At 51.9% G+C, this 13,669-nt stretch overlaps 1 protein-coding gene across 7 annotated transcripts in view, besides 6 other annotated features; it reads right to left on the reverse strand.

The window, feature by feature from the left end:
- ANKLE2 (ankyrin repeat and LEM domain containing 2) overlaps window positions 1–12,405 on the reverse strand; it is a 36,330-nt gene extending 23,925 nt beyond the window's left edge. For 6 of the 7 annotated variants that reach the window (XM_006719735.2, NM_015114.3, XM_011534787.4 and 3 more), the window contains exons 1-3: window positions 12,191–12,405; window positions 5,248–5,706; window positions 1,216–1,422 (exon numbers count right to left, since the gene is read on the reverse strand). In XM_006719735.2, coding sequence (XP_006719798.1) covers window positions 1,216–1,422; window positions 5,248–5,706; window positions 12,191–12,371 — 847 coding nt within the window. In that variant the 5' untranslated portion in view covers window positions 12,372–12,405. Of the gene's footprint in view, window positions 1–1,215; window positions 1,423–5,247; window positions 5,707–11,649; window positions 11,729–12,190 lie in introns of those variants that run through there. The other variant, XM_005266159.4, reaches the window with a different exon arrangement.
- Window positions 8,016–8,195: a silencer, noted in NCBI's record as "fragment chr12:133334029-133334208 (GRCh37/hg19 assembly coordinates)". NCBI's record gives its function as "represses an EF-1alpha promoter that drives an FKBP-Casp9 reporter gene in an ReSE screen in HepG2 liver carcinoma cells {active_cell/tissue: HepG2}" and the evidence as "EXISTENCE:reporter gene assay evidence [ECO:0000049][PMID:32094911]".
- Window positions 11,751–12,619: an enhancer, noted in NCBI's record as "H3K27ac hESC enhancer chr12:133337764-133338632 (GRCh37/hg19 assembly coordinates)". NCBI's record gives its function as "activates a minimal SCP1, AML or CMV promoter by ChIP-STARR-seq in primed H9 embryonic stem cells {active_cell/tissue: H9 hESC(primed)}" and the evidence as "EXISTENCE:reporter gene assay evidence [ECO:0000049][PMID:30033119]".
- Window positions 11,751–12,823: a biological region, named in NCBI's record as "H3K27ac hESC enhancer GRCh37_chr12:133337764-133338632".
- Window positions 11,854–12,443: a silencer, noted in NCBI's record as "silent region_5126". NCBI's record gives its function as "represses an Ori minimal core promoter by ATAC-STARR-seq in GM12878 lymphoblastoid cells {active_cell/tissue: GM12878}" and the evidence as "EXISTENCE:reporter gene assay evidence [ECO:0000049][PMID:35858748]".
- Window positions 12,534–12,823: a silencer, noted in NCBI's record as "silent region_5127". NCBI's record gives its function as "represses an Ori minimal core promoter by ATAC-STARR-seq in GM12878 lymphoblastoid cells {active_cell/tissue: GM12878}" and the evidence as "EXISTENCE:reporter gene assay evidence [ECO:0000049][PMID:35858748]".
- Window positions 12,974–13,073: an enhancer, noted in NCBI's record as "active region_7387". NCBI's record gives its function as "activates an Ori minimal core promoter by ATAC-STARR-seq in GM12878 lymphoblastoid cells {active_cell/tissue: GM12878}" and the evidence as "EXISTENCE:reporter gene assay evidence [ECO:0000049][PMID:35858748]".

Here is a 13,669-nt window from a genome sequence, read left to right on the forward strand (position 1 = left end):
TCACAGGCGTGAGCCACCTCGCCCGGCCTGATTTCTGTCTTAAGGTGATTTCCTTCTGAGGAATCCTCACAAATTGCAAAGAAGGAAATCCGTACCTGTTAGAAGCCACTCTGGTTTCCATCCAGGAAGCACCTGTATAAGGCTGACTGAGGGCAGGCGGATGACTGGAAGGAGAGGGCAACATTCCTCTGGAGTACCAGCCCGCCAGGGAAGCCCAGACAACTGTGAGCTGCGAGAGGGAGCAGGAACTGAGGCCAGATGAAAGGTAAAGGCGGAGGTTCTACCCCACACTGACCGTGAAGAGCCTCTTCACACAAAACCCTAGTTCTGAGCTGGGAGGTGGGCATGGGTCAGACTTCGGGCTGGACCGCTCCTACAGATAAGCCCGCCTTCTCCAGATGCCCTAGTCCTTGAAGTAGGTATAGCTTCAGGTGGGGAAGTAGACTGGTTTCAGGATCCAAAAAGGCGCAGGGGCTCACGCCTGTCATCCCAGCACTTTGGGAGGCTGAGATGGGAGGATCACTTGATGCCAGCAATTCAACCAGCCTTGGCAACATGGCAAGACCCTGTCTCCATAAAAAAAGTTTAAATTCTAGCCTGGCCAACATGGTGGCTAAAAATACAAACATTAGCCGGGTGTGGCAGTGTGCACCTGTAATCCCAGCTACTCGGGAGGCTGAGGCAGGAGAATCGCTTGAACCCGGGAGGTGGAGCTTGCAGTGAGCCAAGATCGCACCACTGCACTCCAGCCTGGGCGACAGAGCAAGACTCCATCTCAAAAAAAAAAAAAAAAAAAAGAAAAAGTTTAAATTAGCTGGGTGTGGTGGTGCACGCCTATTTCTCAGCTACTTGGGAGGCTAAAGCAGGTGGATTGCTTAAGCCCAGGAGTTTGAGGCTGCAGTGGGCCATGATAGCACCAGACTGCACTCCAGGCTGGCAAAAGAACAAGACCCTGTCTCTTTACAAAAAAAAAAGAAAAAAATCCAACAGACACGGGGACAGATGGAAGCGGCCACAGCGTTCTTTTCAGCTTCTCCAGAGTCAAGATGCTAATTACACGAGCATCAGAGCCAGCATGGCCTCCTGGTCCACTGAGACCCCATCGACTCTACCCTCATGGAGAAAACAAGTTACCACATCAGAGGAAAGAAGGCACAAAACAGGGTGGGATCAATGTGACAGGAACATCAAGATGTGAACGGCTGCATGATTTACCTTTCAACCTGTCATTGCTAAAGAGTGGAGCTGTTTTCACAGGAGACAGTGGTAAGGACGTTTTGCTTGGAGAAGGGAAATAATCACAAATTCCTCTAGCAAATTTCTCAGCGTCTTCTCTGGTAGAAAAAGCTTTAAATCGGGACCCTTTGATCATCTTGACAGCTTGCAATGCTTCCTTTTTATTTTCATAAACATAGATCCTTTCTGGGTAAGAAAAGTAACAAATGAAAATCAGAGAAGAGTGACTGGAGAGCTGTCACCTGGCCATGCCCTGGGCCTAACCATCAGCTTCCACATCTGCTACCCAGTCGCCTGGCTTAGTTCAGATCTTTAATCCTGAAGAAAAAGGGCCTAAGCTAGCCAAAATAGAACAATTAACAAGCTCGACAGTGTGCATATATGCATGTAACATGATATATATTATGTTCATATATGTAATTCTATATGCCAAGATTCTATCCTAAAAACTAAATTTCATATAAAGATCTAAATAAAAATTATTAAAAGGCAAATTAAAAAAAAAAACTATAATTATGTCAGCCAAGAACATAAGAGAATTTTAAACACAATTTTGAACAGGGAACGCCTTTTTATTTTTTACTTTATTTTTTTTTTTGGAGACGGAGTCTCGCTCTGTCGCTCAAGCTCAAGTGCAGTGGCACGATCTTGGCTCTTGCAACCTCTGCCTCCCAGGTTCAAGCGATTCTCCCGCCTCAGCCTCCCGAGTAGCTGGGATTATGGGCATCCGCCACCATGCCTAATTTTTTGTATTTTTAGTAGAGACGGGGTTTCATCATGTTGGCCAGGCTGGTCTCAAACTCCTGACCTCAGGTGATCTGTCCGCCTCGGCCTCCCAGAGTGCTGGGATTACAGGTGTCAGCCACGGCGCCCAGCCGGGAATGGCTGTTTTTTTTTGACATGGAGTCTCACTCAGCTGCCGAGGCTGGAGTGCAGTGGTGTGATCTTGGCTCACTGCGACCATCATCTCCCAGGTCCAAGCGATTCTCCCGTCTCAGCCTCCCGTGTAGCTGGGATTATAGGCACCGGCCACCATGCCTGGCTAATTGTTGTATTTTTAGTAGAGACGGGGTTTCACCATGTTGGCCAGGCTAGTCTTGAACTCCTGACCTTAGGTGACCTGCCCACCTCAGCCTCCCAAAGTGCTGGGATTACAGGCATGAGCCACTGTACCCGGCTGGGAATGCCTTTTTAAACATGCCAAGAAACCATTCAAAACAAGATAATCCTGATTATATAAAAATATTAAAGCTCTGTAGTGGAACTATCACAATTAAGTTTTGTATGAGACTATCGTAAATACATAAGATATACACTACTGGCCAGGAGACAAAAATTTATGAACAATGTAACAGACGAATGGTTACTGTCCACTACTGGATAAAAATAGCCATAGTTCGGGCACGGTGGCTCACGCCTGTAATCCCAGCACTTTGGGAGGCTGAGGCAGGTGGATCACCTGACGTTGAGAGTTTGAGACCAGCCTGACCAACGTGGAGAAACCCTGTCTCTACTAAAAATATAAAATTAGCCGGGCGTGGTGGCACACCCCTGTAGTACTAGCTACTCGGGAGGCTGCAGCAGGAAAATCACTGGAACCCAAAAGGCAGAGGTTGGAGTGAGCCAAGATCGCACCACTGCACTCCGGCCTGGCGACAGACCGGGACTCTGTCTCAAATAATAAGTAAATAAATAAATAAATAATAAAAATAAAAACTGCACCATGATCATTTCCCAGTGTTACTTTCTTTTTTTTGAGATGGAATCTAGCTCTGTCGCTCAGGCTGGAATGCAGTGGCACAATCTCAGCTCACTGCAACCTCAGCCTCCTAAGTAGCTGGGACTACAGGTGCCCACCACCACACCCCGCTAATTTTCTGTATTTTTAGTAAAGACGGGGCTTCACCGTGTTAGCCAGGATGGTCTCGATCTCCTGACCTCGTGATCTGCCTGCCTCGGCCTCCCAAAGTGCTGGGATTACAGGCGTGAGCCACCGCGCCCGGCCCCTACGTATTCTTTAAAAAGATCTTACAGAACAATATTCCATTCTATTCATAGTGTTTAACCAATTATGTACTCATAGGCGTCACCACAAATGGTATCACAGTAATAACAATACTCATAACAGTGTGCAATTTCTGGCATCCCAATTAATACTGAGTTCTCATTTCTTTTTTCCAATGCTAAATCTTCTTTAAAATTACAATTCTTGGGCTGGGCACAGTGGCTCACACCTGTAATCTCAGCACTTTGGGAGGCTCAGGTGGGAGGACTGCTTGAAGCCAGGAGTTCAAGACCAGACTAAGCAATAAAGCGAGACCCAGTCTCTTAAAAAAAAAAAAAAAAATTTAATTACCTAGGTGTGGCCAGGCGAGGTGGCTCACGCCTGTAATCCCAGCACTTCGGGAGGCTGAGCCTGGCAGATCACTTGAGCCCAGGAGTTGGGAGACCAGCCTGGGCAACATGGGGAAACATTGTCTCTACCAAGAATACAAAAAAACTGGCGCGTACTGGCACGTGCCCGTGATCCCAGCGATCCCAAGCTACTCCGGAGGCTGAGGTGGGAGGACTCCTTGAGCCTGGTAGGCAGACATTGCAGTGAGTTGTTGAGATTGCATCACTACACCCCAACCTGGGTGAGAGAGAGACCCCAGTCTCAAAAAAAAAAACCACCAAAAACAACCAATTAGCTAGGCGTGCTGGTGTGTGCCTGTAATCTTAGCACTTTGGGAGACCAAGGTGGGTGGATCGCTTGAGGGCAGTTCGAGAGAAGCGTGGGCAACGTGGCGAAACCCCGCCTCTATAAAAAATACAAAAATTGGCTGGGCGTGATGGCTCACACCTGTAATCCCAGAACTTTGGGAGGCCGAGGTGGGCAGATCACGACGTCAGGGGTTCGAGACCAGCTTGGCCAAAATCGCGAAACCTTGTCTCTACTAAAAATACAAAAAATAAAAAATTAGCTGGGTATGGTGGCGGGCGCCTGTAGTTCCCAGCTACTCAGGAGGCTGAGGTTACAGTGAGCTGAGATCGCACCACTGCACTCCAGCCCAGGTGACAGTGCGAGACTCTGTCTCAAAAAAACAAAACAAAACAAAACAAAAAAAAACCATAAAAATTAGCTGTGCGTGGTGGCGTATGCCTGTGGTCCCAGCTACTCAAGCGGCTGAGGTGGGAGGATCACCTGAGCCAGAAAGGTTGAGGCTGCAGTGAGCTGTGACTGCACCACTGCAATGCAGCCTAGGTGGCAGAGTAACACCCTGTTTCAGATGAATGAATAAATTAAAAAAATAAAATGGCCAGGCGCGGTGGCTCAAGCCTGTAATCTCAGCACTTTGGGAGGCCAAGGCAGGTGGATCATGAGGTCAGGAGTTCAAGACCAGCCTGGCCAAGATGGTGAAACCCCGTCTCTACTAAAAATACAAAAAATTAGCCAGGCGCGGTGGCAGGCGCCTGTAATCCCAGCTACTCAGGAGGCTGAGGCAGGAGAATCGCTTAAACTGGGAGGGGAGAGGTTGCAGTGAGCTGAGATCACGCCACTGCACTCTGGCCTGGGCAACAGAGTGAGACTTTGTCTCAAAAAATAAATAAATAAATAAAAACAAAATAAAACCACAAATCTTTGATGCTGAAAAGTATTTATACACTCATTGGCCATTTGCATTCATTAACATAAAAGATGTGCAGGTTACACTGCATTTTAAAAAGGCGGAGATGACTAATCAACAAAGTTCCTAACCAACAGCAGCAGCCAGTTAATATTAATATCTCAGTCCAGCATATCTCATAGAATCCAATTTACCTCACAAATTTTAACAGTTCTCATGTTAAATTCACAAATATTTCAGAAAAGTTCTACATAAAAATGTTAACAATGGTTAACTGGGGTGATGAGATGGAGGGGATTGGATTTTTTCCTTCTTAATCTGTAGTTTTCCATTTTCAGACGTCATCCCGCCCCTCCGCGTATGTGCTATCTGTGTGAGGAAATCCTACACACGGTCCCATTACCATTTCTCGCTGGGACGTCCTCATACACTGGACACACCCCATAGTACAGGGGCGGCTCCTTAGACGCAGTCGCTCCAGCTCTGTAGGTGTCGGTGTCACTAGGGGGCACCGAGCAGGTCTTGGATGTCACAGCTTCCTCCTCTGGAGGATTCAGGCCCACACTGTAACCAAAATCTCTGTCTTCAGAAAAACCAGCCTGATCAGTTGGGTTCCCTTCAGCTGGCTTCAAAATCCTTTGTGGGTCCTGGCTGAGAGCTGTGACACCTGCCTCATGGTGGTAGAAAGAAGACAGCCTTCCTCCTTGCTCCAGTAAAGCCTGAGCCAATTTTTTCTCAAAAATGAACCTTGTAGTTGATGTAATGGGTCCACATTTCAATCCGGCTTTGACGATTTCTTCTCTAAGGTCATCTGGATTCAGAAGTTTCAATCGAGCCAACAGAGCATCCATTGTCATTTCACCTAGGCCCAAGACAAAAAAATCAAAGAGTCACAAAATACTAACACCTGCTGAAGCTGGGTGATGGGTACTAGGGTTCATTATATAATGGCATCAGTTTCTGTTTCTTTCATTAAAAACTTTTTTTCTTGGCTGGACGCGGTGGCTCACGCCTGTAATCCCAGCATTTTGGGAGGCTGAGGCGGGCGGATCATCTGAGGTCAGGAGTTCGAGACCAGCCCGGCCAACATGGTGAAACCACGTCTCTACTGAAAATACAAAAAATTAGCCGGGTGTGGTGGCGGATGCCTGTAATCCCAGCTACTTGGGAGGCTGAGGCTGGAGAATCGCTTGAACCCAGGAGGCGGAGGCTGCAATTAGCCGAGATCACACCCCTGCACTCCAGCTTAGACAACAAGAGCGAAACTCCAGCTCAAAAAAAAAAAAAGAATTTTTCTTTTTTTTTTCGAGATGGTGTCTCCCTCTGTCGCACAGGCTGGAGTGCAGTGGTGCTATCGCAGCTCACTGCAACCTCTACCTCCTGAGTTCAAGTGATTCTCCAGCCTCAGCCTCCCAAGTAGCTGGGACTACAGGCGCCTGGAATCACACCTAGCTAATTTTTGTATTTTTAGGAGAGACGGGGTTTCACCATGTTGGCCAGGTTGGTCTTGCACTCCCGACCTCAGGTGATCCACCTGCCTTGGCCTCCCAAAGTGTTTGGATTACAGGCGTGAGCCTTTTTTCTTTTTGAGACGGAGTCTCGCTCTGTCACCAGGCAGGCTGGAGTGCAGTGGTGCGATCTCAGCTCACTGCAACCTCTGCCTCCTGGGTTCAAGCGGTTCTCCTGCCTCAAGCCTCCCGAGTAGCTGGGATTACAGGCGTGCACCACCACGCCCAGCTAATTTTGTACTTTTAGTAGAGACGGGGTTTCTCCATGTTGGTCAGGCTGGTCTTGAACTCCCAACCTCCCAAAGTGCTGGGATTACAGGCATAAGCCACCATGCCCAGCCCGTTGTATTCTTTGGGAGGCAGGCAGATCACCTGAGGTCGGGAGTTCGAGACCAGCCTGGCCAACATGGTGAAACCCTGTCTCTACTAAAAATACAAAAATTAGCCGGGCGTGGTGGTACATGCCTGTAACCCCAGCTACTCGGGAGGCTGAGGCAAGAGAATTGCTTGAACCCAGTAGGTGGAGGTTGCAGTGAGCCGAAATCACGCCACTGCACTCCAGCCTAGGGGACAAGAGCAAGACCTTGTTTCAAAAAAAAAAAATTACCCGAGCATAGTAGTGCACACCTACAGCCCCAGCTACTCAGGGGGCTGAGGCAGGAGGATCACTTGAGCCTGGGAGGTGGATGCCACCACGAGCTGAGATGGCAACCCTGCACTCCAGCCTGGGTGACAGAATCAGACCCTGTCTCAACAACAACAACAAAAAAAAAGATGGCGGGGGGGAGTAATACATCTGAATTTAAGTTTCTACAGGGTTCTGACTTTTAAAAACATGTTCGTGATTTACATACTCAAATAAGTAAAGCCGGGTGCGGTGGCTCACGCCTGTAATCGCAGCACTTTGGGAGACCGAGGTGGGTGGATCACGAGGTCAGCAGTTCGAGACCAGCCTGGCCAAGATGGTGAAACCCCATCTCTACTAAAAAAAAAATACAAAAATTAGACAGGCGCAGTGGCGGGCACCTGTAATCCCAGCTACTCGGGAACCTGAGGCAGGAGACTCGCTGGAACCCAGGAGGCAGAGGTCACAGTGAGCCGAGATCGCACCACTACACTCCAGCCTGGGCAACAGAGCGAGACTCCACCTCAATAAAACAACAACAACAAAAAAAACAAAAAAAAAAGAAATAAGTAAATAAACAAAAAGATGGGGGAGACACCCACATGGAATACTAGCCAGAAGAAATGCACCTAACTGTATTACAAGTGAGTAACACAGGGGAAGCTAACCTACGTAACTTTGGAAAACAGTGAGTGACTAGGTGCTCTAAGGAGAAAGACAAAAAGGACTGTGCACCATTACCGTGTGAACAGGCTCTAGGCAGTAGATGTTTTCACAATGGTATAGGTTAACACACCTAAAGCTATTTTCTGTGGACTCTAGGGCAAAGCAAATAATTGGAATACACGGTGGCTGATGAGAGCCAGGACTCTCAATGACAGAAAGGAAAGTGGGAGTGAGAACAGGGTTTCAGCAAACGATTCCTGTAAAGGGCGAGAGAGTAAGCATCTCAGACTCTATGAGCCAAAGGCCACGTGAGTGCTCAGAACAGCCACAGGCCGCGTGTGGCGGCTCACACCTGTCACCCCAGCGCTTGGGGAGGCCGAGGCGGGAAGATCACTTGAGCCCAGGAGTTCAAGACCAGCCTGGGTAACACAGCGACACCCTTTCTACAAAAACTTTAAAAATTATCTGATGGCTGGGCGCGGTGACTCATGCCTGTAATCCCAGCACTTTGGGAGGCCGAGGCAGGTGGATCATGAGGTCAGGAGATTGAGACTATCCTGGCAAACACGGTGAAACCCTGTCTCTACTAAAAATACTAAAAAATTAGCCGGCCATGGTGGCGGGCGCCTGTAGTCCCAGCTACTCAGGAGGCTGAGGCAGGAGAATGGTGTGAACCCAGGGGGCAGAACTTGCAGTGAGCAGAGATGGCGGCACTGCACTCCAGCCTGGGCGACAGAGCGAGACTCCGTCTCAAAAAAAAAAAATTAGCTGAGTGTGGTGACGTGCACCTGTGGTTCCAACTACTTGGGGGGCTGAGGAAGGAGGATAAATTAAGCCTAAGAGTTTGAGGATGCAGTGAGCCCTGTTTGTGCCACTGCACTCCAACCTGGGCAACAGAGCAAGACCCCGTCTCCAAAAAAAAAAAAAAAAAGAACAGCCACAGATATACATAAACAAAAGGGTATGGTTGTATTCCAATAAAACTTTACTAAGGAAAATAGGTGGGGGCCAGTTTGGACCACAGTTTACTGACTCTTGCATTAGAATAAAGCCAGGGAGCCGGACACGGTGGCTCATGCTGGTAATCCCAGCACTTTGGGAGGCCAAGGTGCATGGATCATTTGAGGTCAGGTGTTTGAGACCAGCCTGGCCAACATGATGAAACCAGGTGTCTACTAAAAACACAAAAATTAGCCAGGCATGGTGGCATGCACCTGTCATCCCAGCTACTCAGCAGGCTAGGTGGGAGAATCGCTTGAACTGGGCAGGCAGAGGTTGCAGTGAGTCTCCAGCCTGGACAACAGAGTGAGACTCCACCTAAAAAAAAAAGAATAAACCCGCGGACGTCGCATTGAAATTGGAAGTATCAGTATGATCACAAGGTCTTTGACAGATCGATGGGTAAAGATGTGAGAAACAGCTAGGTCTGAACACTGGGTTATAATGTTCCATTAACAATTTTTTTTTTTTTGAGATGGAGTCTTGCTCTGTCGCCCAGGCTGGAGTGCAGTGGCACGATCTCTGCTCACCGCAACCTCCACCTCCTGGGTTCAAGCAATTCTGCTGCCTCAGCCTCCCGAGTAGCTGGGATTACAGGTACCTGCCACCACGCCCCGCTATTTTTTTGTATTTTTAGTGGAGACTGCCTCACCATGTTGGCCAGGCTGATCTTGAACTCCTGACCTTGTGATCCACCTGCCTCGGCCTCCCAAAGTGCTGGGATTACAGGCATGAGCCACCGCAACCGGCCAAGTACACAACTTTTGAGACTGGCTTTTCCTATTCAGCATAATGCCCTTGAGATCCACCCACGTGGCAGAGTGGATCGCTGCGGAGTGGCACCCCGGGGCACCCACGTGGCAGAGTGGATCACGCAGTGTGGCACCCCGGGGCACCCACGTGGCAGAGAGGATCGCTGCGGAGTGGCACCCCGGGGCACCCACGTGGCAGAGTGGATCGCTGCGGAGTGGCACCCCGGGGCACCCACGTGGCAGAGAGGATCGCTGCGGAGTGGCACCCCGGGGCACCCACGTGGCAGAGTGGATCACGCAGAGTGGCACCCCGGGGCACCCACGTGGCAGAGAGGATCGCTGCGGAGTGGCACCCCGGGGCACCCACGTGGCAGAGTGGATCATGCAGAGTGGCACCCCGGGGCACCCACGTGGCAGAGAGGATCGCTGCGGAGTGGCACCCCGGGGTATCAGTGTGCAAGTTTAACCATTTGAGTTATTTCAGTTTCTGGTAATTACAAATAAAGTTGCTATGAACATTAAATATGGGTTTTTGTGTGAAAATAGTTTTCATTTGTCTAATAAAAGCTCAGGAATGCAGGGCAGGTTTAACTTCCTAAAAACCTGCCAGGCTGATTCCCAGAGTAGCTGCACCACTTACCGTCCCCACCTGCAATGCACGAGGCCCAGTTTCTCTAAATCTCTGCTGACTATATATATGTATACTATATGTGCTATATGATATACACGTATCATATGCCATGATATACGTATATTATACATCATATATAAAAACATATTTTTATATAAAATAAATCAGTATTTTTTTATTTCAGCCATTCTCAAAACACCACCCTCACCCGCCGCCACCTTGTCCGCAGCTCTGCCTGGATGATGCCGCTGGTGACAGTAACAGCACTCAGAGGTGCTTAACACATACCAAGTGCTGCACTTACCCAACTCCCAAAAAAGCCTAACCAGGTATCACTATCATCCCCATTCCTAAAAGAGCAGGCTGAAAACAGGTTAAGCCCACAGCAATAAGTGGTAGGGCCCGGTGCGATGGCTCACACCTGTAATCCCAGCATTTTGGGAAGCTGAGGCAGGTGGATCACCTGAGGTCAGGAATTCGAGACCATCCTGGCCAACATGGTGAAACCCCGTCTCTATTAAAAATACAAAAATTAGCCGGGCGTGGTGGCAGGCGCCTGTAATCCCAGCTACTCGGGAGGCTGATGCAGGAGAATCGCTTGAACCCGGGAGGCGGAGCTTGCAGTGAGCCGAGATCGCGCCACTGCACTCCAGCCTGGGCCACAGGGCGAGACTACATTTCAAAAAAAAAAAAAAAAAAAAGTGGTAGGGCCGAGACACAAACTCACACAATTGGACAGGAATCCCCACTCAATCATCAGAAAGCACCTCTCCGCAGTGACTAACAGTCTGACAATTTAGAGTAAAAACAAACTCAGTTTCTCCCACTAGTCTTGCAACATGCTTCGGACACCAGGTATGTGGGGATTTTCTCCCCACAAATCACGCAGGTCGTCAGTTCTGCAGTGGACACAGGCTGGGTGTCGTCTGTCATCCTAATTCAGTCATCTATTCTGACAGCGTCTTCCTGGAGATACCAGCAGACCCCCACAGGTTAACGGCTCAGCCCCGCAAGACTGCCCCCCACTTCCAGTGCCCAGGTTGTTTGACCTGCGCTTGGGACCGACGGGGCGTAACCCGGTGACCTCCTCAGGTTGCGGTAATTTGCTAGAGTGGCTCCCGAACTCACAGACATGTTTTACTTACACTTACCAGCAGAGTATAAAGGATTACAAAGAATACAGGTGAAGAGATGCGTGACGTAAAACCGGGGGGAAGCGCTTGGAAATTCAGGGCCTCTCTGGGCACCGCCTCCAGGAACCCCCACGTACTATCTGGAAGCTCCCTGAACCCAGCCCTTTTGGGTTTTTACAGGAACTTCATTTCACAGGCGTGATTCATCAGCCACTGGTGATCAACGCAACCTTCACCCCTCTCTCCTCCCCAGAGGTTGGGGGTGGGGCTGAAAGTCCCCAGAACCTCTAACCCTGCCTTGGTCTTTCCTGCGACCAGCCCCATCCAGAAGCTCCCTAGGGGCTGCCGGCCACCAGTCCACTCAGCCTACAAAAGACATCACTTTGGAGGTTCCCGGGATTTCAAGAGTTGTATGCCAGGAAAAGGGGATGGAGCTGAAATACACAGTTCACTGTATCAGTTACCTCAAACTTAAAACGACCAAAACCCACCTCTGATCTCCACATCACCCAGACCCGACAGTCTACCGCAAAGCAATAAATGGCCACCTTCTCCCTCTTCCTCTGGCCCCAAACCCCTGAGTTACATTTGCCTTTTCCGTCTCTGCCTTATGTTCCATGACCAGTAACCGCAATGGCTTCACGTTCCAAACACATCCGGGACCCAGGGGTTTCCTCCCCGCGCCGCCCTCCTTTGGGCCATCCCTCCCCAGGTCTCGAGAGACCGCAGCAAGAGTCTCCGCTAACGCCTCGCCGGGCCCCCGCCGCCTTCCCCGGAGGCTGCTCCAGGGCCCGGGAAAGCTCTCACCCCCGAACCCGGCGTGGCCCCTCCGCCCCCGGCCCGGGAAGCCAAGTCCCCGCAACTGCCCTTTCCGCGGCCGGAATGGCCTTTCCCGACCGGCCCTGGTTTCCCCGGCCGCCTCGCCCAACTGCTGCCGGCTCCAGGGGCGCGGCCGGGACCCCAGGCCCGAGGAGGGCGTCGGGGCGGGGAAGGGGCCAGGGTGCGGGGACCCAGCGACCGCCTGGGCCTTACCTGAGGCGGGGGCGGCGGCCGCGCTTGGCGGAGGAACTGGGGTCCCGCTGCGGCCCAGACCTCCCGGCCGCGGGCCCAGCCGCCGCACCAGCCACCGCACAGCGATCAGCAGCACCGAGGCGCCCAGCAGCTCCCAGGCCAGCGCCGCCCACTCGGCCGCCGCCAGCCGCGGCCACAGCATCGCCGCCGCCCGGGCCGCAGCCGCCGAGAAGCCCGCGCCCCGCGCCGCGCCCGTCCCAGGACCCCGCGCCGGGCTGCCCGCGCCCTGCCTGACGGCGCCGCGCTCGAGGCGGCCGGGGCGGCGCGGGGGACACGGACGGCGGCCCCGCTCGCGGAGGCCCGGCGAGGGCGCGGCCCCGGCCCTGGGACCCAAGCGGGCGGGAACGGGCGAGCGGACGGGCGGGCGCGGCAGGCGGGGCGCGGGCAGCCCGACGCGGGGTCCTGGGACCGGCGAGGCGCGGGGAGCGCAATGTGCTGGCGGGGGCCGGGGCTGGGGCCCGGGGAGGCCACCAGGGCGGGGCCGGGCGCGGGGCGGCGCTTCTTCGCGCCTCCCGGCCCCGGCCTGGCGTCCGTGGGGCGCTGTGCGTCTCCGAGAACGAAGCGGCCTCCGGGTTCGTGTGCTCCGAGCCCGAGTACTGTTTGCGGCCGTCGTCCCGTCCTGGAGCAGGAGTGAGGAAGCGCCTCTCACTCCCCCGCGAACCCGCAGAACAGGCCGCCGGCGCTATGGAGACCGGCGGAGCTTCCCGCTCCTTCACCAAGGGGCCCTGACGCGCAGTTGAAAGCGCGGATTTTGCCGGGCGCGGCGGCTGCGTCCGGAGTCCCAGCGCCTTGGGAGGCGAGGCGGGAGGATCCCCACGGCCCGGGAGCTCGAGACCAGCCCGGGCAAATATTTTGAAAGTCATGGTAAAAGCCGCAATTACTTTTGCACCAACCTAATAGTGAGACCCTGTCTCGAAAAAGGGAAGGAGGATTTTACTGTATGTAATTTAGATGTTTTATTTATTTTTTGATGCGGTGTCTTGCTCTGTCGCCCAGGCTGAAGTGCAGTGGCGCGATCTCGGCTCACTGCAGCCTCCGCCTCCTGGGCTCAAGCGATTCTCCTGCCTCAGCCTCCCAAGTAGCTGGGATTACAGGTGCCCACCACCACGCCTGGCTAATTTTTGCATGTTTAGTAGAGACGGGGTTTCCTCATGTTGGCCAGACTGGTCTCGAATTCTTGATGTCAAGTGATCCACCAGCCTCGGCCTCCCAAAGTGCTGGGATTACAGGCGTGAGCCACCGCGCCCCGCCTAATTTAGATATTATTAAATGAAAATGAAAGACCTGAAAAATATAATTGATATCCTTGGTTAAAAACATAATTGATCTGAGCGAGGTGGCTCAGGTCTGTAGTCTCAGCAACTCTGGAGCGTGAGGGGTGATGGTAGTTTCAGTCCGGGAGTTCGAGGCTGCCATGAGCGTGATCTCGCCTGTGAATAG

The sequence above is a fragment of the Homo sapiens genome, chromosome 12 (genome assembly GCF_000001405.40).
Source record: "Homo sapiens chromosome 12, GRCh38.p14 Primary Assembly".
NCBI lineage: Eukaryota > Metazoa > Chordata > Mammalia > Primates > Hominidae > Homo > Homo sapiens.